Source organism: Homo sapiens, chromosome 4 (assembly GCF_000001405.40).
Source record: "Homo sapiens chromosome 4, GRCh38.p14 Primary Assembly".
Classification (NCBI taxonomy): domain Eukaryota; kingdom Metazoa; phylum Chordata; class Mammalia; order Primates; family Hominidae; genus Homo; species Homo sapiens.
Window position 1 is genome coordinate 146,372,638 of NC_000004.12, and position 22,491 is coordinate 146,395,128.

The 22,491-nt window shown below is 37.5% G+C and overlaps 1 protein-coding gene across 11 annotated transcripts in view, besides 1 other annotated feature; it reads right to left on the bottom strand.

Annotated features, from left to right (window-relative positions):
* The window catches only part of SLC10A7 (solute carrier family 10 member 7), a 267,960-nt gene that overhangs the window by 118,657 nt on the left and 126,812 nt on the right, over positions 1-22,491 (bottom strand). The window lies entirely within an intron of this gene.
* Positions 8,651-9,233: an enhancer, noted in NCBI's record as "NANOG hESC enhancer chr4:147302440-147303022 (GRCh37/hg19 assembly coordinates)". NCBI's record gives its function as "activates a minimal SCP1, AML or CMV promoter by ChIP-STARR-seq in naive and primed H9 embryonic stem cells {active_cell/tissue: H9 hESC(naive and primed)}" and the evidence as "EXISTENCE:reporter gene assay evidence [ECO:0000049][PMID:30033119]".

Below are 22,491 nucleotides of genomic sequence, written 5' to 3' on the forward strand. Positions count from 1 at the left end.
TTAATTTAAACAAAACACTAATTCATTTAAATAAGGCATTAATAAGATTATGTTTTCCTTCTTAATGAGTTACTGAAATATTTTGCAAAGAGAATGGCATAAAGGAGCAGGGAATGGCAGAATGGCAGAGAAGCATGTTAACTTAATGTTTCATCAAATATTAAAAAAGTAACATTTTTTGGATTAAATAAGTTGTTTAGCCATTATTTATTCTCAGTTACATTTAGCAATATAAATTATGAAATAATAAATCCAAGTAAATCATCCAGGTTTCAACATTATTACTACTAGGACAATTTAAATTTTGATTTGCTAGAATCCATTTGTTCTTCAATAGGTCTGTCTTGAAGAATATCAATCAGCCACATCAGAGAGCCCTATTTGCTTCACAAAATAATGGTTTATTTCATTAAAATCATTTGTAGCTTCTTAGTGCACCTAAGGGTTTGTTGATCATTATTCTACAGAAAGGCCTGAAGAAAGAACATTTTAAAGCAAAAGGCTGATTACAAGTACAAATAAACATCTCTGAAGTTATAATAGAAATAATTTTGGCCAGGCACAGAGGCTCATGCCTATAATCCCAGTACTTTGAGAGGCTGAGGTGAGAGGGTTGCTTGAGCTCAGGATTTTAAGATCAGCCTGGGCAACATGGCAAGACCTCATCTCTACTAAAAATCAAAAAAATTAGCCAGGCCTGGTGAAACACACCTGTAGTCCCAGCTACTCAAGTGGCTGAGGTGGGACGATAGCTTGAGCCCAGGAGATGGAGGCTGCAGTGAACTATAATTGCACCACTACACTCCAACCTAGGCGAGATAGCAAGACCCTGTCTCAAAAAAAAAAAAAAAATGTGATAACAAATAAATACAAGGGCCAGGCAAAATTCAAGGGCTGGCAATGTATGCACAGGGATCAGGTCAAAAAGCACCATAGTAAAAGCTTAGATTTATCCTGAGAGACATGAGACGTGAAAGAGGGTTTTAATGGTGAAATGTACATTATAAAAATGTTTAATACTGTAGTTTTCAACTTTCAGTACACATTAGAATCATGCAAGGAGATTTTTAAAAATACTAATATCCAAACTTTCATCCACCAGAATCTTAATTTAATCAGTCTGGAGTGGGGCCCACATATGAATGATTTTTTTTAAACCACCCAAGTTATTTTAATATACAACCAAGGTTGAGAACCACTGCTCAGATTTGGATGCCAGGAGACAGGCAAAGGCTATAAGAGATGATGGCTAAGCTAGGGTTCTGGTGATGGAGATGAGGAAATGTGGATAAATTCGACAGATATTCAAGTGGTTTTAATAAAATAAACAGTATGTACAGATTGGTTACCTATGGAGCATACAGGAAATACATGAAGCAAAAACTGCCATCAGGTTCCTCCTAGGAAAATGGGCAAACTGGAGTGCTATTCATTGGCCTCAGATTGGAAGAGACCTGGGTTTGGATCTGCTTCTCCATTTTCTATTTTGAGGCTTTGGGTAAATTATTTAATCTCTTTGAACTCTATACAAAATGGAAACAATAATACCTCACAGCGTTTTGTCGAGATTACATGAGATGACACATATAAGGGATCTAGCACAGGGCCTATTATATAACAGATGCTCAATGAATGTTTTCCCCTCCCATCTTATAACATAGCTATTTTGGGCCAGGTGCGGTGGCTCATGTCTGTAATCCTAGCACTTTGGGAGGCCGAGGCAGGCAGATCACTTGAGGCCAGGAGTTCAAGACTAGCCTGGGCAACATGGTGAAATTCCCTCGCTACTAAAAATACAGAAACTAGCTGGGCATGGTGGTGCACGCCTGTAATCCCAGCAACTTGGGAGACTGAGGCAGGAGAATCGTTTGAACCTGGGAGGCAGAGGTTGCAGCAAGCTGAGATTACACTACTGCACTCTAGCCTAGGCAACAGAGTGAGACTGTCTCAAAAAAAATATATACATATATATATATACACATACACACACACACACACACACACACACACACACACACACACACATATATATATATTTTCTGGATGTGACCACTATGGAAAGTAAGGGTTATTCGTTTAGATTCCTAAAGAAACTGTGCTAACATTACTTCAATACGTGAAATTACTTTAACATAGTATTTAACAAATGCTATGATTTTCTCAGAAGATGCATGACATTTAAAAAGATACATTGGATGTAAAAAGTACTGTATTATCATTTCTAGAGATGCAGAGTCACTGAGAGAGACCATCTGTTTCTAATATTGTTAAATTATCTCAAAAACCCACTAGGTGTGGTGGCTTACGCCTGTAATCCTAGCACTTTGGGAGGCTGAGGCAGATGGATCACCTGAGGTCAGGAGTTCGAGACTAGCCTGGCAAACATGGTGAAACCCTGTCTCTACTAAAAAAACAAAAATTAACCAGGCATGGTGGTGCATGCCTGTAATCCTAGCTACTCAGGAGGCTGAGGCAGGAGAGTCACTTGAACCTGGGAGATGGAGGTTGCAGTGAGCCGAGATTGCACCACTGCACTCCGGCCTGGGTGACAGAGGGAGACTCCATCTCAGAAAACAAAAACAAAAACAAAAAGCAAAACAAAACACAACAAAAAACCAAACAGTATGAATAGACAGGAGCTTAATAATGAAAGACTGATTTTAGGAAAAACATTCTAATCTCAATTTGTAGGAACATCACCTTTGAATACCTGGAGAGATGCTCTTACCTTTGCATTCATTGTTTCCTTTGCCTGGAATGTTCTCCAGAAATCCTCACGCTTAACTCCCTCATGGCCCTCAAGTTACTCCTAAATGTTACTCCTACATGAGGCCAACTTGACCACTGTACTTAAATTGCAATTTCCCCAACCCTGCCACAGAACATCTAGCTCCCTTTAACGTATAAGCATTAACCTAACTCTTCTTTTTTGTTTTTGTTTCTCTTTTTCCTTACAACTTATCTCCTTTTAACAAGCTGTGTGATTTACCTATTTATTTCGTTCATTTTTTTATTGTCTGCCTCCTCCCAACAGAATGTTGTAAAGGCTAAGAAAAACCCTAGTGTTTTTCCTATTCTCACACAACACAACCCCTCTGACATGAGCTGTGTTAGGGTTGTTTCCTCACATACCAAACAATTCTCCAGCAGACACCAGCTGGGTGTCCTCTAATTCAATTCTATTCCGGCACTTGGTGAAGATAGTGTCGGATCCCACAGGTTGAAGGCTCAGTCCCATCAGACTGCCCCCCACTTCACATGCTAATCACAAGTCCTAGCTTGTGACCTATACTGATGACAGACCAGTGATAAGTTAAGGGTGCCCGTGACCCCCTTCTCAGGTTTGATTAATTTGTGAGAGCAGCTTACAGAACCCAAGGAAACACTTTACTTACGTTTACCCATTTACTGTACAGGATATTACAAAGGATAAACAGCCAGATGGAAGAGATGCATAGAGTGGTGTGGTAGAGGAGCACAGAGCTTTCATGCCCTTTCAGGACACACCACACTCCAGAAACCTCCACATATTCAGCCTCATCCTGAGGCTATCTAGGAGTTCACCAAGAATCTCCTCATTAGAACAAAAGATGTTCCTATCACCCACAAAATTCTAAAGGATTTAGAAGCTCTTTGTCCGATCTTATTGATATGGATAGGAGGAGGGGAAATACTGGGTAGAAGAGGGTGGTTCCCTGGCAAATGCCCCACCCTCAAGCCTGGAAACTGCAACCCTAAATGAGAATAGTTGCCCCTGTTGTCCAGCCCAAATGTTGCTTTTTCCAAAACCACCCTGGCCCACCACACCCCCCATCCTATACCCATTAAAAACCCCAAACCCCACTGGCACAGGAGCAGAGCAGCATGGTAAAGAAGGAGAGAGGAGGCATCTTAACATTGAGAAGAGTTCAGACAGGGATGGTTGGTCCCCAGCCGAACTCCAGGGGAAGACTAACTTTCCCTTCCATCCCCTTTCCAGCTCCCCATCCTGCTGAAAGCCACCCCATCGCTTGTTTGAAATGCTTGTTCCCCAGTGCCATAAAGAAATAGCACTTGAACATAAATTCAATTTCTTCAGCAAGGCCATTTTTATACTTTCTGCAGAAAGGGTACACTCACCAGCAGTTTTGCCGCGACTGTATATTGAACAAAGGAGACAAGGTCATTTATAACCTGATGCGTCCACTTTACAGCTGTGTCCCGTTTTTATTGGCTGGAACGGGACCTCACAATCTGTATTTGTCTCAATTGGCTAGCAACTTAGAAATGTTTAAGAGGCAAAGGCAGAGGAGAACAAAGGAAGGAGGAAGTAACTTGAGGAATGCTGAGAAAGGTAAAAACACCTTTAAATAAGGAAGAGGAACAGGCTATAACTTAATGCTTGCTTGGACCAGTATAAGCATGCCAGGGCAAATATTTAGGCTAAATTGTGGAAGATAAGAATGTAAAGTACATTTTTTTTTATTATTACAGCTAGCAGATATTTAAGAATGTTAGCACAGGTCTTTGAATAAATTTTGTTTTTAAGAGAAGTTACTGTTTATTTCTAATTAGACGGGGAGGAAAGTCTTTGAAGAGGAACCTTTACTTTACTTTTTACACACTCAATAAAATCTCTGCATCCTTCAAGTCCATGTGACCTGATTCTTTCTGGATGCTGGACAAGAACCCAGGTACCAAGAGGGCAGGATGTAAAAGGCTGTCACCCTGACTCTCCATTGAGCTGGTTAACACTTAGCCATCTGTGGATGGCAGCTGCTAAAGGAGCATTAATTGTAACACACCCCTGGATGCTGCTGTGGGGCTAGAGCCCAAAAGCACTCACCCCAGCCCTGGCACACACTCACCTGCATGCTCCTCCTCCCGCAAGGGGTTTAAGCAAGCCACACTCCTGTCTCAAGTCCCATGATAAGGTCAAGGAAATTCTCCCATCTCATTATCACTCTGGAGATTGCAAAGGGTTGTTCAGGGACCCAGAACCAAAGACCATATATTAGAACAAAAGAGTCTCCTATCACCTTTATCTACAAAGGTTTTAGGAGCTCTGTCCCAGGAACAAAGAGGGTGTGCAGAGGACAACTACATATTTCTTATTATATCACAATATTCCAGATGTAAACTCCACAAGGGCAGAGTCTGCTTTATTAATTTGTATATCACAAGTACCTGGAACAGTGCCTGGTACAAAGTGTGAAATGAACATCTTTTGAATAAAAAAAATACTTTAAAATTGCCAACAAAATTCAAACTTCATAGGTTTATATGCCAGTATTGTAAGTAAAGATACTACTAACAGGAAACCCAGTCATCAAAACTAACTTATTTGGGAAAAATAAAAAGAATAGAAGGTGATGCTGAAGCCCAAAATTCTTGTTCACTGGCACTACTCATGCTGTCTCTATTCTTAGAGCATCTATGCCAGGGCTACTGGAACAAAGGAAAGAGTATGCGTTTTAGGTGGAAAAGACTGGTTTTGGATGCAGTTCTTTCAGAGGGAGGCATGAGGTCTAGTGATGACAACAAAGACCAGAATTTAAGAGTCTGCTACTTTGCTTCTAAGTGTGCAGGGATGCTTTCTTGCGCCAAAAAAGGGCATGAATCTGCTTCGTTATCAACAGTTCATCTGCCTAGCTATAGAGAAAATTATAATCTCTCTCTCTCTCTTCTTATTTTAGAAAACATGGGAGAATAACGATAATGTTCTGGTCTTAAATAAAAAACATAATCCACAATACAGCTCCAATTTCCTAATCCACAGAAACTGAATCACAAAGATAACCAGTCTTTCTTCTGATCAAACCACAGTTTGAAGAGACACAATCAACCAAGATTACCAGGGTGCTAAGGACAGCCTAGACTGGAATGATTTCATGAATTTTCAGAGAAGAAATTAAATTATGCCATAATGCTCAATCTACATTATAGAGTACATAAAAGAAGGAAAGGTGTTTGTGTCATTCCAACTTGAATAGATTTTACGACATGTCTATTTTCTAGTCTAAAGATTTCTAGAAAATGAGAATAAAATAAATGAGGCTTAGTCAACTCTGGAGAATATAGATTAAGATAGAGAAAAAGGCCAAACCAAATAAAACTAAAGTCATTTAACAAAGTGGTTCTTGAATTATTTATATTTGGTTTTGTAATGGGATTGCACACAGAGTCCACTGTGCCTAACTTCCTGTACTTCACATTTTAGCCCCATCCTTGGCAACTCAAAGCCCAATGGGAAGGCTGATGATAGAAGATCAGATAATCTGCAAAGCAGATAATCTGCTTCTCACAATTGAGTATTAGAACAGTCAAGAGACCACCTGAGCCCCCATAATATACCCTTTCCAGGCCCACAAACAGAGCCTTTCAGGGTATTGACCCAAGCCCAGAGGCATCATGGAGGCTCACAATTAAAAGGCTTTGACCCAACTTCTGACCTCAATGTCCACTTCCTGTGGAGAGTGTCTGAACTAGCCTAACAGAATTGCAGACTTAGGAATGCTGACCAAATTACTTTCATTCTACCTTCTAGCTCACAAAACCATTAGGATCCTATTCATTTAGACATATGCTGGTCCAATAGCTCAGAATAGTTCATATCAGTCTGTTTCACTGAGGTCTACATTGTTCTCAGCAATTATCCTTACAACTATCCAAAGTGACCATCTTTAACACATATATACATGTATCTGCAGCCTCTCTTTGTTTAATTGATGAATACAACAGATTTTATTGATGCAGATTTATCAGACGCTTCAGTAACATCATCAGGATAAACAGGTCTTTGAGAAATAAGACCTCCAATAAAAAAGTTACTGGTTATCTTAATATTATAATTACTGTTGCTGGTAAGACTAATGTATATTCAAAACTAGGATAGCTGATCTAAAATGAAACAAATATTTTGTCTCATGTAATTGGCTATGAAACTGCCAGAATAACTGAAGAGATCAGAAAAGTGAGAAATAGTCTTCTCCAAAGACAAAAACCCCAATCTTGATAACTGTCCACTTGGAAGAAAAACTTAAATCATCAATGTCAATATTAGCAATTAATTACTTTCTTCTAAATCAGTGTATTCCTCCTTATATTTTTATCCTCTCCAAAGAACATCGCATTAAGTACTCTTTCATTGAGTATTTCTAGATCATCCCACTATTGAGTATTATATCAGATATATTATTCCTAGCTGAGAGATTTAAAATTCTTGATAGCTTGAAGAATGGCCCCAAGTCTTGTCAAACTATGCAGTTCAGAGTTCATTCAGTGATTCATACTACACAAATATCTGCTTGACAAATAATTCTCTCTCTCTCTCTCTCTCTCTCTGTGTGTGTGTGTGTGTGTGTGTGCGTGTGTGTATGCAAGAATATGGGTAAGCAAGCAAGAGAGCTGAGCTTCTGTCTCTTAGAAAGCAGTCTGAGGAAAATCTAATACCCATTGGGAAGAAAACTATCCAAAAGATGTTTCAGATCCAAATATATAACAAGGAGTACTATGGGTCAAATACACTTTTGTTTAAAACCAGGTATATGTTAGTTTTAATCCCTCTGGATCAATCTACAACCCTATCAAAGGCAGAGAAACAAAATCACAATAATAATGAAGAAAAAAATCCCATAGTTTTGACAGTATGTGAATTTCCAGAAAAGGCACATAGGTTGCCTAAATTAACCATGCATTCACTAGTCAGGTAATAATGTGGTAATAGGCTTGTGATATTATATTAATTGTACTTGCAAAACATGGTTATGCAATTTCTGAAAAAGAGAGTTCTGCTCTATAAAAACTACTTGCCATCAATGTGCAAACCACTATATTTAGGTTATATGTTTTATTTTTGTCAAATCAGAGAGATCTTGCCAACATACCTTTTTAGTTTTAAAAGCGATTCAGTTCACTGCATATACTTATTTTATTTTCAATTCAAAAACTACTTTTTGATGACCTACTACATATGGGGCACTAAATTAGGTGTTGCTAAAGGCTACAAAGATGAATTGCATTGCAATTCAAAATGTAGGCGATCCATTGAGACTTTCTGAAATGAATTCATTTGATTCCTACTTATAATTGTTGTATCAGTACACAGAAATATACAAACTGGCACATTATATTATTGTAGGAATTTTTTTCTTTTCCTTTTCCTTTTTAACATGACTAACATTATAGAGGGAATAAAGTAATCTCTATACTTACAAAAACATATAATTAGTTGGTACGATGTTTATCTTGATTCCCAGAAGTTAAAAAAAATAGATAATTTAGATATAGATATACACCTAAGCATTTATTATAAATTTAAACAGTTCCAAAGTTTCTAGGGAGTGAAGAAATGCCGGCCATCATTTTACAGAATTTTAAAATTTATGCCTGATCCACTCATTTATAATTAGAATTTTATCAGAAGGGACAGATCCAGGTTTTGTGACCCCTAAAGCCCATACAATTTGGGGGGCTCTTGTTTAAGAAAGGAGTACAAAACTAGTGCCAGGGCCTCAGAAGGGGCCCATGCAAATGAGGGGCCCTAAAGCTTAAGCATCATTAGCTTCTGAGTAAATCTGACTCTGGTTTTCAGTCATCAATAACAAACTTTCATCAATAGAATGATGTAAAACAGAGCAACAAGTATCTGAAATTTAAGTTGGGGCGGAAATATAGTTCTCTGAAAGTTAATTAGAGGAGCTATGTGAACTTTTGTAAAACTGAACTGTTTAGGAACCCTCCCCTCACCCCCAGAAATCTACTCTAACATTGCCATGCACAGCATCAGGAGGAGGCTCAAGGTTAATCACTCATTTCCCCTTTCAATCCGTCTCAATTACTGTTATGGGATGCTTCAATTAGTCATTCTCATTCTCTCCAGGGATAGGGAGAGATTGCAGATAACTCATCCCAAATAGACTTCACAATTTGAATCCCTCCACCCAGCCAAAGAAAAATCTTCACTGGAGGCAAGGAAGATTTGCTCTCATCCACTCTGCACTCTGTCAATGCCACTCTTTCATCAGACAAAGAGAAGCCATCAGTCTTTAGGGAGGCAAGTTCTTCTTTTCCCTTCCCCCAAAGGAGCAAGTTCTGTTTCTACCACACACTCAGCCTAAGACTGCCCTAGGCAATTGTTCTTAAAACTACCCTTGGAAGGCCCTTTCCAGAAGCTAGCCCCTGAGACAGCCAGCCATATTATCAATCACCTAGACAGCATTTATACCTTTTTCTATGCCTGCTCTCTACTTGTCATAAGATTGCTTAGCCCTAAAGTCTAAAATCTACAAAAACAGACATTTCAGTGACTTAAAGAAGCATTTGCAGTATCAATAGTTTATAGAAGACTACACAGAAAATAATGATTTCTAAACCTAGAAAGAAAAATGTCTCCCAATCTTAGAGAAGGCATTCAAACTCTCTAAAGGCATGGGATAAGAGAAAAAAAAAAATCTAATCTGACAAAGGGCTTTGTTGCAAAGGTTTTGTATATTTTTACCTCTGTAAATATTCCAAGTACTCTGGGTTCTGTTATCATCATACGGAGATTATACATGCTGTGCAATTATAGCGATGTTACAAAATAACACTTATGAATGGATAAACATTTCTAGTTATGTTGACATTGTTTAATAATTGCTTATTCTCCTGTAGAAGGACTAAATTTGCTCAAGGACTGCATAAAGTGGCCTATTTCTGATCAGTCATTTCTTCCATTGTGCCATCACTGTATTTACACTGTCACAGCACTAACATCATGTTACAATTACTGTTTCACCCAATAGACTACAGACTCCCAGGGGCTGGGAGAAGGGAGGTTGTACTAGGGCTGTTTTCATTTTTGTATCTTTAATAACGAGTAGTGCTGACACATAGTTGGCACTCAATGAGTGAATTTACTGAAACAGACATGGAATTGATAATATTTAATATGAATGGCAAGACCCAATATTTTAGGGGTTACCAAGGCATGTTGAAAATCAAATATTGAAGTTACTTTATAAATAGCTGGCACAGAAGATGCTCATGATGGACTGAGCAGTTCTAAGCATGAAGGGCTTTTTAATATAAATAATGTCCTCTTCGAGAAATATATTTCAGAATCCAGAGATTAAAAGTACTCCAAATGTGTTTAAAATCACACCATTTTAAATTTCTTATAAAATTGTCACCTTGTGTCCTTTCCTCTTCATAATATCTAGTTTTGTATATGAGAAAAATCCAAAACTCAATCTTGACCCATGAAACTCTTTTCCATGATGGGCCCAGGGTATCTTGAGATAGAATTATATCAGTATTGGGGGTGGGGGGTGCAGAATATCATCAATATCGGTGAAACTTTCCTTGGTACCTCTAACCACCTCTAGGCACTGCCTCCTCATGCATGGCTCCCCGATTTTCTTCTGGAATGTAGGCCTCTGAAACCACTGAAAGCTCGATTTGTCTCCTTATCTATTGTGACCTGCAGCCTCATCACACAATAAAAGTAAGCATTTTTATTGTTACCTTGACTTCTTTAAATAGACCAGATTAGGTTGTTCAACTGATTCTAGGGCTCTGAAGTAATAATAGTAAATATTTACAAAATGATTATTTTGATTCAAGTAGTACTCTGTATATAAGAACTTAGTGAATTCTCTCAACTCCCTATGAGACAGTGAAGCAGGAGAATAGGGTCTAGGAGCAGGGAACCTAAGGACTTCCTAGAACTAAATCAAAGGGGGAAAACCGCGGCTTTCTAAGGCCAAGTCAGCTATGACAGGAAACATCCTCTTCATTTGTACAGGGTGTACACCGAGTAAATAACTTTGTAATCTCATTTCATCCTCTTCATTTGCATAGAGCATACACCAAGTAAGCAATGGGAAATCTCTAGACGATATTTAAGCCCCCAGAAAATTCTGTAACCAGGCCATTGAGCCGCTTTCTCAGGCCTGCTCCCACCCTGTGGAGTGTGCTTTTGTTTTCAATATATCTCTGCTTTTGTTGCTTCATTCTTTCCTTGCTTTGTGTGTTTTGTCCAATTCTTTGTTCAAACTTCCAACAGCCTGGACACCTTCCACTGGTAACAATAGGTTACCTTATTGTCCCATTTTATAGCTGAGAAACCTGAAGTTCAGAAAGGCTAACAACTATTAAAATCACTGAGATTCAATCTCAGCCTGGCTCCAGAATCTGTGCTCATTGATGATGAAGACAACAACAAGCTAATAATAGCCAATACTTAGGTAGCTACTAATTAGATGTCAGGTATGTTCTAAGCATGTTAAATGTATTTGTTCATGTATTTAATTAATGACACCAGATCAGAAGTCAAAGAAACCAGGATTCCAATTCAACTGCTGGCACTGATTAACTGTGTAATTTAGGGGAAGTCGTTTCAAACACTCTGGGTCTCAGTTTCCTCAGTTACACATCAAAGGTATTGTATCAAATAATCTCTGAGATCTAACACTATATTTATTGCTTTCCCACGTGAGCAGTGCCAGAATGAAATTATATTCCTGCTCTCAAAAAAACTGTACTAATCAAACAATGTCAATTATTAAAGTCCAGCAAACATCTTTTATTTCATGCTCAAAACTGCTATTTGGTGGATTAATACAGAATATAAAATGAAACTTGGTAACTCTTAAAAAGTAATAATGCCTAAAAGCCATAAAGAAAAAAACTGATAAATTTAATTACACAACTTCTTTTTAAGCCCCAGATGACAAAAACATCATATGGTCAAAAGATAAATGACTAGAAATAATATATGCAACACATGTAACAGACATAGGTTATTATTTTATGAGTAGCTTATAAAATCAATGTAAAAAGACTAATGGGAAATGGGTAAAAATACATATTTCTTTGTATTCTTTGTGCCTAGCCCAGTTCCTTGAAAGAACACATGGTCAAAAAGCCAATGATAAACTAAATACATGAACTATGTGATTTTATTATTAGTCTCTTTATCAGGTTTCATAAAAAAGCACACTATGTATATATAGGGATTTGGACAATATTAGAAGATTAATTTTACAGAATTACTACAGACTTTTATAGAAATATAAAATCAGAATATTATACTTGATATGATTTAGATGTTTTGTCCCCTCCAAATCTTATGTTAAAATATAATCCCCAATGTTGGAGGTGGGCCTACTGGGAGGTGCCTAGGTCATGAAGGAAAACATGACAAACTTAACAATGGCTATCCATAAGGAGAGATAAGAAAGGGATACTTGCATTTTTTTTACATTTATACACTGCTTTTTAATGTGCCCATATTATGTATTTAAGAATATATTTTTTAAAACAGAATAATTATATAAGAATAGTCTTTAAATTATGGGTCTATCTTCAATAATTTCTAAGAATCAACTACCCTTACTGAAAAGACTCCTTCAGAGTATTTAACAATCAATATGGCAAACAATTAAGCCACCTTTCTTCCTTTCTATAGCAATGTCTTCCTCTCCTTAGTATTTTTTCTCTTCCCCTCAAATACAATCAGTTGCCAAGTCTAGTTGATTTTTTTCCATTTCCTCTGCTAATACCCTAGGTTTAGGGTTTCAATAATATCTTTTGTTAGATAATATTGGTAGTAGAAGGAGATATTGTTACTAAATTCTTCTGTGTGGCAGGTGCTTCACATGTCTGTTCTCTAATCCCTATAGTAATTACAGAAGGTTGATATTATTAGGTTAGTGCAAAAGTAACTGCGGTTTTTGCCATTACTTTAAAAAATGCCTCACTTTTAAAACAGCATAATCAAATAGGTGAAAAGTAGAATCTCATTGCTTTAACTTAAATTTCTCTAACTCTTAAGAGGTTCAGCATATTTACTCATCTTTTTGATTCTCCTGTGTCATTTCATGTCATATGTTTCGCTTTATTTTTTCCAATTAGGTGACTGTCCTTTGCTTATTGATTACAGATGTTTCTCATACATTTTGATTTTTTCCCTCAACTTAAAAATAAATAAATTTTTTTAACTCGAAATAACTTTTATTTTAGATGCAAGGGGTACACATGCAGGTTTGTTACCTGGGTATACTGCATGATGCTGAAGTTTGGAGTACATTTGATCTCATCAGCCAGATAGTGAGCATATTATCCAATAGTTAGTCAACTCTTGCCCCCTTCCTCCCTCCCGACTCTAGTAGTCCCCAGTGTCTCTTGTTGCCATCTTCATGTCCGTAAGTACCCAGTGTTTAGCTCCCACTTACAAGTGAGAACATGCAGTATTTGGTTTTCTTTTCTTGCATTAACTCACTTAGGATAATGGCCACAAGCTAAATCCATGTTGCTGCAGAAGTCATGATTTCTTTCCTTCCATAGTGTATATGTACCACATTTTCTTTATCTAATCAACTGTTGATGGGGTACCTAAGTTGATTCCATGTTTTTGCTATTGTGAATAATTCAGTGATGAACATATGAGTCCATGTCTTTTTGGAAGACCAATTTATTTTCCTTTGGACATATAGCCAGTAATGGGAGTGTAGGGTCAAATAGTAGTTCTATCTTAAAGTCTATGAGAACTCTCCAAACTGCTTTCCACAGTGGCTAAACTGAATTAGATTCTTACCAACAGTGTTTAAGAATTCCTTTTTCTCTGCAGCATTGCCAGCATCTGTTGTTTTTTGACTGTTTAATAATAGCCATTTCAACTGGTGTGAGTTGGTATCTCATTGCGGTTTTGATTTGCACTTCTCTCATGATTAGTGATGCCCTCAACTTAAAAAAAAATGTTTTTAAACGTACAGAAAAGTTGCTAAGAATAGTATAATGAACACTCATATATCCTTTACCTGCACTCACCAATTACCAGTCATTAACATTTTGCTACCTCTCTCTCAACTGTCTGCCTCCCAAACTCTCTGTTACTTGCAAACTGTGTGTGTGACATTGTGGCAATGCTCACCTAATATCTTAGCATGTATTCACATATTCTCTGTTGTTAATGCCTACTGCTATTCTGGCCCTTCAAAGGTACCTTCTCTAACCTAATGAACTCTCAGCACTTTCTATATCATGCATTTACTCTTTCTTTTTTTTGGAATGTACTGTTATCGGCCATATGTCCAAATCTTATCCATCCTTCAAAGTCCACTCAAATGCCCTTTAACCCATAAAACGTACTCTTCTAAATATTCCTTCAGTTATATGTGCCTCTTTTTATACTACATACTGCTTTCTTCTTGGAAGGACAATTATTTGTATATATGTCTCTCTCCCTTAATAGTCCATGGGCACTTGAGGAAAGGAAGCATATCGAATAGCAAGTTCTATTTTTCATAGAGCTTAGTATAGTCTCTTACATATAGGAGATACTCAATAAACAACTACAAAATCAATCAGCAAAATCACTGAATAAATGTATGTTTGTGAGAGAATCGGAGGGAGAATTAGATTCTACTTCTGACCTTTTAGCAACTTTCTTTGTAATTTAATGCAAATTAAAATCCTAATCCTGATGTGAAAGTATTTGGAGGTGGGACTTTTGGAAGACAATTGGGTCACAAAGGTGGAGCCCTCATGATTTAGACTAGTGTCCTTATAAGAAGAGGCCAGAGAATAACCCTGATTAACATAGATGCAAGAATCCTCAACCAAATACTAGCAAACCAAATTTAGCAGCACATCGAAAAGATAATACACCACAGTCAAGTGGGTCTTATTCTAGAGATACAAGGATGGTTCAACATATGCAAATCAATAAATGTGATTCGCCACATAAACAGAATTAAAAACAAAAACCATATGATCATCTCAATAGACATAGAAAAAGCATCTGATAAATTTGGCATCCCTTCATGATAAAAACTCACAACAAATGAGGCATCAAACAAACAAACCCAGAGCCAACATCATATGCATCAGGGAAAAGTTGAAAGCATTCCCCCTAGGACTGGAACAAGACAAGGATGCCCACTTTTACCAGGGAACATAGCACTGGAAGTCCTAGCTAGAGCAATCAGGCAAGAGAAAGAAACAAAAGGCATATAAATTGGAAAAAAGGAAGTCAGATTATCTCTGTTCACTGATAATATGATCTTTTATGTAGAAAACCCTAAAGACTCCTACAAAGGACCCCTAGCTTTGATAAATGATTTCAACAAAGTTTCAGGATACAAAATCAAGTACAAAAATCAGTAACATTTCTATATATCAATGGCAATCCAGTTGAAAACCAAATAAATAACTCAGTCTCATTTATAATACATACCAAAAAAATACCTAGGGATACATTTATCTAAGGAGGCAAAAGATCTCTACAAGGACAACTACAAAATACTGATGAAAGAAACCAGAGATGACACCAACAAATGAAAAAACATTCCATGCTCACAGACTGGAAGTATCAATATTGATAAAATGACCATACTGCCCAAAGCAATCTACAGATTCAACGTAATCCCTATCAAATTACCAACATCATTTTTCACAGAATTAGAAAAACAATTCTAAAATTCACAGGGAACTAAAAAAGAGCCTGATTAGCCAAAGCAATCCTAAGCAAAAGAACAAAGCTGGAGGCATCAAATTATCTGATATCAATTTATATTACAAGGCTATATTAACCAAAACAGCATGGTATTGGTATAAAAACAGACAAATAGATCAGTGGAACAGAATAGAGAACCCAGAAATAAGGCCACATACCTACAACCAACTGACCTTTGACAAAGTTGACAAAGATATACACTGGGGAAAGGACACTCCATTCAATAAATGGTGCTGGGAAAACTGGAGAACCATATACAGAAAATGAAACTGGACCCATATCTCTCACCATTTACAAAAATTAACTCAAGATGGATTAAAGACTTAAATGTAAAACCTGAAACTATAAAAATCCTAGAAGAGGCTGCGCATGGTGGATCACGCCTGTAATCCCAGGACTTTGGGAGGCTGAGGCGGGTGGATCATGAGGTCAGCTGATCGAGACCATCCTGGCTAACACAGTGAAACCCCATCTCTAGTAAAAATACAAAAAAATTAGCTGGGCGTGGTGGTGCGCGCCTGTAGTCCCAGCTACTCAAGAGGCTGAGGCAGGAGAATGGCGTGAACCCAGGAGGTGGAGCTTGCAGTGAGCCGAGATGTTGCCACTGCACTCCAGCCTGGTTGACAGTGTGAGACTCTGTCAAAAAACAACAACAACAAAAAAAAAAACCCTAGAAGAAAACCTAGGAAAGAAAAACTCTTCTGGACATTGACATAGGCAAAGAATTCATGACTAAGTCCTCAAAAGAAAATGCAACAGAAACAAAAATAGACTAATGGGACTTAATTAAAAAGCTCCTGTACAGCAAAATAAATAATTAACAGAGCAAATAGATAATGTACAGAATGGGAGAAAATATTTGCAAGCTATGCAGCCAACAAACGGTTACTATTCAGAATCTACAAGGAACTCAAACAACTCAACTGGAGGCCATTATCCTAAGTGAAAGAACTCAGAAACAGAAAATCAAAGCTACGTGTTCTTACTCACAAGCGGGAGCTAAACAATGGACACAGAGTGGAACAATGGACATGGGAGACTCCAAAAGGTAGAAGAGTGGAAGGAGGGTGAGGGTTGAAAATTTACCCATTGGGTATAATATTCACTATTTGGGCAACAGGTACACTAAAACCCAGACCTCACCACTATGCAATATATCCATGTAACAAAACTCCATTTGTGTCCCCTAAGTCTACAAAAATAAAAAAAAAAAACATTAAAAGAGGCCAGAGAGCTAGCTAGCTTGGTCTCTGCCATGTGGAGACACAGGGAAAAGTCAGTTGTCTGCAACCTGGAAGAAAGCTTTCATCAGAATCCAACCATCTTTATATGCTGACAACCAGATCTTGGATTTGCAGCTCCAGACTGTCAAGAAATAAATGTTTTTGTTAAAGCCATGGAGTCTATGGTAATTCGTTACAGCAGCCTGAACCAACTAAAACAAACATACACTTAATGAGATCTATTAACTCTTTCAAAAGCTATAAGTAGTGCCAAGACAAGTAGTAGACCAACATTCCCAGAGAGAACTTCATTCTCCTTAGCACAACATAGTGTCTTTATGACCAGGGTTGGTTTATCAGCTTCTAATGTAACAGGGCAGGGAGGGGGAATGGCTGTTAGATAGATATGAATCTCAGACTTGGAATTAGAAGAACTTTCGGTTTGGCCTTCTGGCTATGAAACCTTGGGCAAATCACTTAACTAGCCCCTATGATTCTCAGAGTTCTTAGCTATAAAATGCAGATGACCATTCCTCCCTGGGGCTGTTGTTAGAATTTGTGAAATAATGGATGCCAAATCACTTAGCACAGTTGCCTAGCTTAATAGATGCTCAATAAATGTTAGCTGAATGCAACCTATGGAATCTCAAAAAACATATTTTTAGGAGTTACAATGACAATTATAATAGTACATAACATCACTAAGGTGTGAGGGTGTGATTTTAACCTTTTAATAGTAAAATTTGTTGAAGACATCTAGATTCTGCTATTTGAAAAACTATTTTCACTAATATTTTATATCTTACACAGAATAATCAGACAACGAGCTCTTTAGTTGTAAGTAAACCTGTTCACAAGAAACTATATTGAAATTGACAGAAGGCCATCATGTTTTATGGTTTCAGTGACAGATTGTAGTACTGTAAAGCTAATAGTTATTAAAGGCTTAACATTAGGCATGGGGCAGTTTTGAAGGAGGATACAGAATATGTAAAAGATAGCTATTTAGGCTGGGTACAGTGGCTCACACCTGTAATCCCAGCACTTTGGGAGGCCAAGGCGGTCAGACTGCTTGAGCTCAGGAGTTCAAGACCAAGCTAAGCAACATGGAGAAACCGTATCTCTACAAAAAATACAAAAAATTAGCCGGGTGTGGAGGTGCACACCTGTAGTCCCAGCTACCTGCAGGGCTGAGGCAGGAGGATCACTTGAGCCTTGGGCCAGCAGGTCAAGACTGCAGTGAACCATGTTTAAGCCACTGCACTCCAGTCTGGGTGACAAAGCAAGACCCTGTCTCAAAGAAAATGAAATAAAATAATAATAAAATATGGTTATTTCAATCAGAATCCTAGGACTGGGAAAATTCAGAGCAGGGGGAGCTAGGAAAACACGAGCAATTTTCCCCTCCTGCTTTACCAGTTATATTAATTGTGAATTATTTAAGTCTACTGGGTTTAAACTTGCCTGCATTGTAAGTACTTCTTGCTTTTAATTCTAAAATCAGATTTTCCAGACATACAGAAAAGTTAAAACAAAAAAAAAATGGTTGTAAAGGTGGGAAATACGGAAGCAAGAGGGGTTTTAGAAGAAACTAACGCTCAGAGCAACTTGAAAGGGAAAAACAAATTAACTTTGATCTGTTTTCATTAAGGAGAGAGCTAGATAGTGAAGCTGGAAAGGACACTATCATCTTGCTAGTTAAATGTGTGTGTGTTGTGTAATTAAAATGTCTAAATGTTCATAAAAAGATGACATGCACATAAAATGTCATCTTGACTTATTAAAAAAACTGCTTTGCTCAAAAAAGGACATGTAGACCATATAAACTCTTGCCCTTAATAAAACAATCAGCAATTTTCTTTAATTTGTTCATCTTTCTTACAGTTCTCATATACATATTATATAAAATATACCAGTTTTTAAATATTGGCCTTCCAAATGTGAACACTGCAAATGTGTTAAGAGGAAAACAATGTCAGGTCTCCATTTGTGATGGTGCAAATCAATGTCTCTAAAAAGAGCAGTCTGAACTATGGGTTATTGTTGTTACCAAACAGAAAAACAGTCTGTGTGACCATCACCAAGGAAGAAAAAGCGTAAAGTAAAAACACTGCTAAAAGCAAACAGAATTCTTGAACTGTCTGACATAATTTGAGTTGAGAAATAAAGTGTACCTCAGCCCCTCAGTTTTAAAATCTGCTCAAATATTTGGTGCAAGTCTGTAGAGCTGGATTTCATTGAGCCGCTGGTCAATTGTTAGGGACAGAGGTGTATAAAAGGCAGATGAAGTCTTGTCTTCTCAAGGTCAATACATCTTCTCTAAAGTCCCCATACATCCCTAACTCTAATCAGTAATTGTCATTAAAAGCTCTCATTATGTGAAGTAGGTGCAATTAGAGCATCTTGCCCTCACAAGGTATACTGCACTGAGAAGGCTGGAGGTTCATAAATTAGTGCCAATTCATTCTCCCTCTATCTTCCATACATTCTGCTGTGAGAGAGAAAAATTATATTCATACACATTAAGGCAAAAGCCCACTGGCCCCTACAAAATTACCCTAAACAGTAACTGTGGTTATTTGAGGAACTCCCTATTTCATTATGCGTCTCAGGAATAAAAGAGATAAAGTTTGCCATCAATAACACTGAACATATCTGCTGAAACCCGCAGATTCCAAGACATTAATAATTCAAAATCTTGTGGGAATTTTGTCATGGTGGAGATACGACTTGTCTGCAAACGGAGCTCAGGGGATGCTCAGTATGATCTATTCTTGTATATACATACAACTGCTGCATTCATCATGACATGCAAAAGAACACAGGACTCTGTTGTATCTCTATAATTTCTGAAATTCGTGAATCTATATTATAAAGTCATTATGCATAACATAATATGTTCCCATTCTCACATGAAGGGTAACCATGATAATATGTCATTATACCATACAGACTAAAAGGATTGGTAAATATATTCTATCTCCCTTATCTCTTAAACCTATGTGCCATAATTTAAAAAACATTGAGATTGAATGGTCAGAGGCAGAAAAGAGAGAAAAACACCTTGGCTGTCTCTCTAGTGGGAGATATATATGTATGTGTATATATGTGTGGGTCTATATATGTGCATGTATATATTTTTATGTTTATATATGTGTGCAAAGATGAATACACACACACACTCACTCATACTCACATACCTATGACCTTCAGATTTACTGAAAAACAAAAAATTGGCAATGCCAATTATGTCACTCATTGTTGTCCCAGGGCTCATCACCTATGAAGATGACAATAGCAAAAATATCCACCAATATTTTTCCCCAAAGGTCCCTTAAGAGATGAGCCAGACCCCTCAATGCCTGGTGAAAGATTTTGAACAATTCTTAATACTAAAGCCAGAATAATCTTTCTAAAACTCAAATTGAATAGCATCATTCTCTTGTGAAAATTCTTCCTATTGCCCTTAGAGTAAAGCCCTGATACCTCCTTAACAAAACCCACAAGACACTGCATGACCTTGCTACCACTGACTACCTCAGCCTCATCTCAAGCAATTCTCCTCTCCATTTTCTGAGCTCATGGCACAATGGCTTTCTTTTAGTTCCTTAAAAACAACATGGGCAATCCTGCCTCAAGGCCCTTGATCATGGTGTTCTCTCTTAATAAATGTTCTCCACTTAGGAAATTCCATTGTTCAGGTCTCAGCTTAAAAGTCAATTGTGTCCCAGCTATTGCAGGGTGGTGGGTGGCTGAGGTGGAATGGTCACCTGAGCACAGGAGGTAGCGGTTGCAGTGAGCTGTGATCATGCCACCACACTCCAGCCTGGATGACAGAGCAAGGCCCTGTCTCAAAAAAAAAAAAAAAAAAAAAAAAAAAAAGTCAATTGCTACTAAGTGTTTCTGTGTGTTAGGCATTATGCTCCATTCTTTACATGCATTTTTAAAATTTAGCTTTTATAACAACCCCATGAGCTTATTAGCATTATCTCCATTTACAGATGTGAAAATGAGTCCTAGAAAGATTAAGAAATATGTACAAGATCACAGAGCTTGTAAATGGTGGAGGTGGAATTCACTGAGGTAGTCCTTCTACTACATTATCTCTTTATACTTTACACTCTGGTTAACAACTTTGACATAATCAGTAGCTTAATGTTTTCTTTCCACACTAGAATGTAACCTCCATAAAGACAGAAAGTACCCTGTTCACTATGGAATAGACATTGTGCTGGCACTGGGAACAAATAAATGAACAAATGTTTCTTCTTGAATGAATGAGTGCATGGCATACTGAGTAATTTCTATAAAACACAGAGGAAAGAAAGGCTACCTTAAAAGAGTTCAAGATACATTGCTACCTATCCAACTCAAGCAGTGAATTTGGAAAGTTGAAATTGGGATAAATTATTACCAAATACTGTATGAAGTTCCATCAAAATCCATAGTAAATATAATCTGAATATAAAATGTATGAAACTAGTCTTTAGGGGAAGGGAATATACAGGCACCTACCAATAAGAGCAATTATTCTGGGAACCTTTTGAAAATTCAGTGCTCTATAGCATTCAGAGTAGGCCTGATAGCTCCTGACTTCAATTTCAAAGTACAAACACATTTAAAATCTCATTTAAAAATTATGTATAATTAAGGTAAAATTGTTTCAAAGACCCATAGAATATCCACTTCAATGAATATAGCTAAAATATGGGAATCTAAACAGAGTCAGTATTATTCTGTATTATTTCAGGAAATCTAATCAGCACAATTGGAAGTTTTCTTGAACTTGATATGTAAGGCCAATATCACCGACTCTGGGGACTGGTCAAGGTCAGCCCTAGATTTCGAATTCTCATAATCCATGGTTATAACATAAATAAAAACCTGATTTAAGTCTTTATTTCAACATCCTACCTCATTAAATCTTTTATCTACCAGTGCTGTGACTAAATAACAAAATCAATAGGTATTGTTTCTTATTTTTCCTTTCTACAACAAAGAAATGGCCAAGGTATGATGAGCTTGCCATGAAAAGATTTTCAAGGGAGTACAGCTCTGTTGCCCAGGCTGTAGTGCAGTGGCGCAATCTTGGCTCACTGCAACCTCAGCCTCCTGAGTTCAAGCAATTCTCATGCCTCAGCCTCCTGAGGAGCTGGGACTACTACAAGAGCACACCATTACACCCGGCTAATTTTTGTATTTTAGTAGAGATGGGGTTTTGCCATGTTGCCCAGGCTGTTCTCGAACTCCTGAGCTCAGGCAATTCATCCGCCTCGGCCTCCCAAAGTGCTAGGATTACAAACCTGAACCACCGTGCCCAGCCCCACACTTTTATCTTCAAGCAATACTGTATACTGATTTAGGGAGCAAACAGAGTCCAAACATGTACACACACAATAAACATGAACCACATAAACAAATGAAAATATGGAAGACATTGGAAAAGATTCAAGTATATCTTTCTTCTGAGTCCTTTTTCTCACCCATGGGATCACATTTCTCCATATTCTTATTCATATGGTATAAATTGAATAATTTCTATTCCTAAAAACTCATGCCTTTTTAGAAATACATGACCTTTGTTCAGCTACAAGAAACATTAAAAGGGAATATTGTTCTCCAAACAACATTTCTACTTCTTCCATAAAGCCTTCCTTGATATTCTCCGTTTTCTCCTCTGAACTCTCACTCCATGTTTCCATGTCACCTCTCCTGCTATTACATGCTTCTCTATTAAAATGCAGTTTTGGCTGGGCACAGTAGCTTATGCCTATAATCCCAGCACCTTTG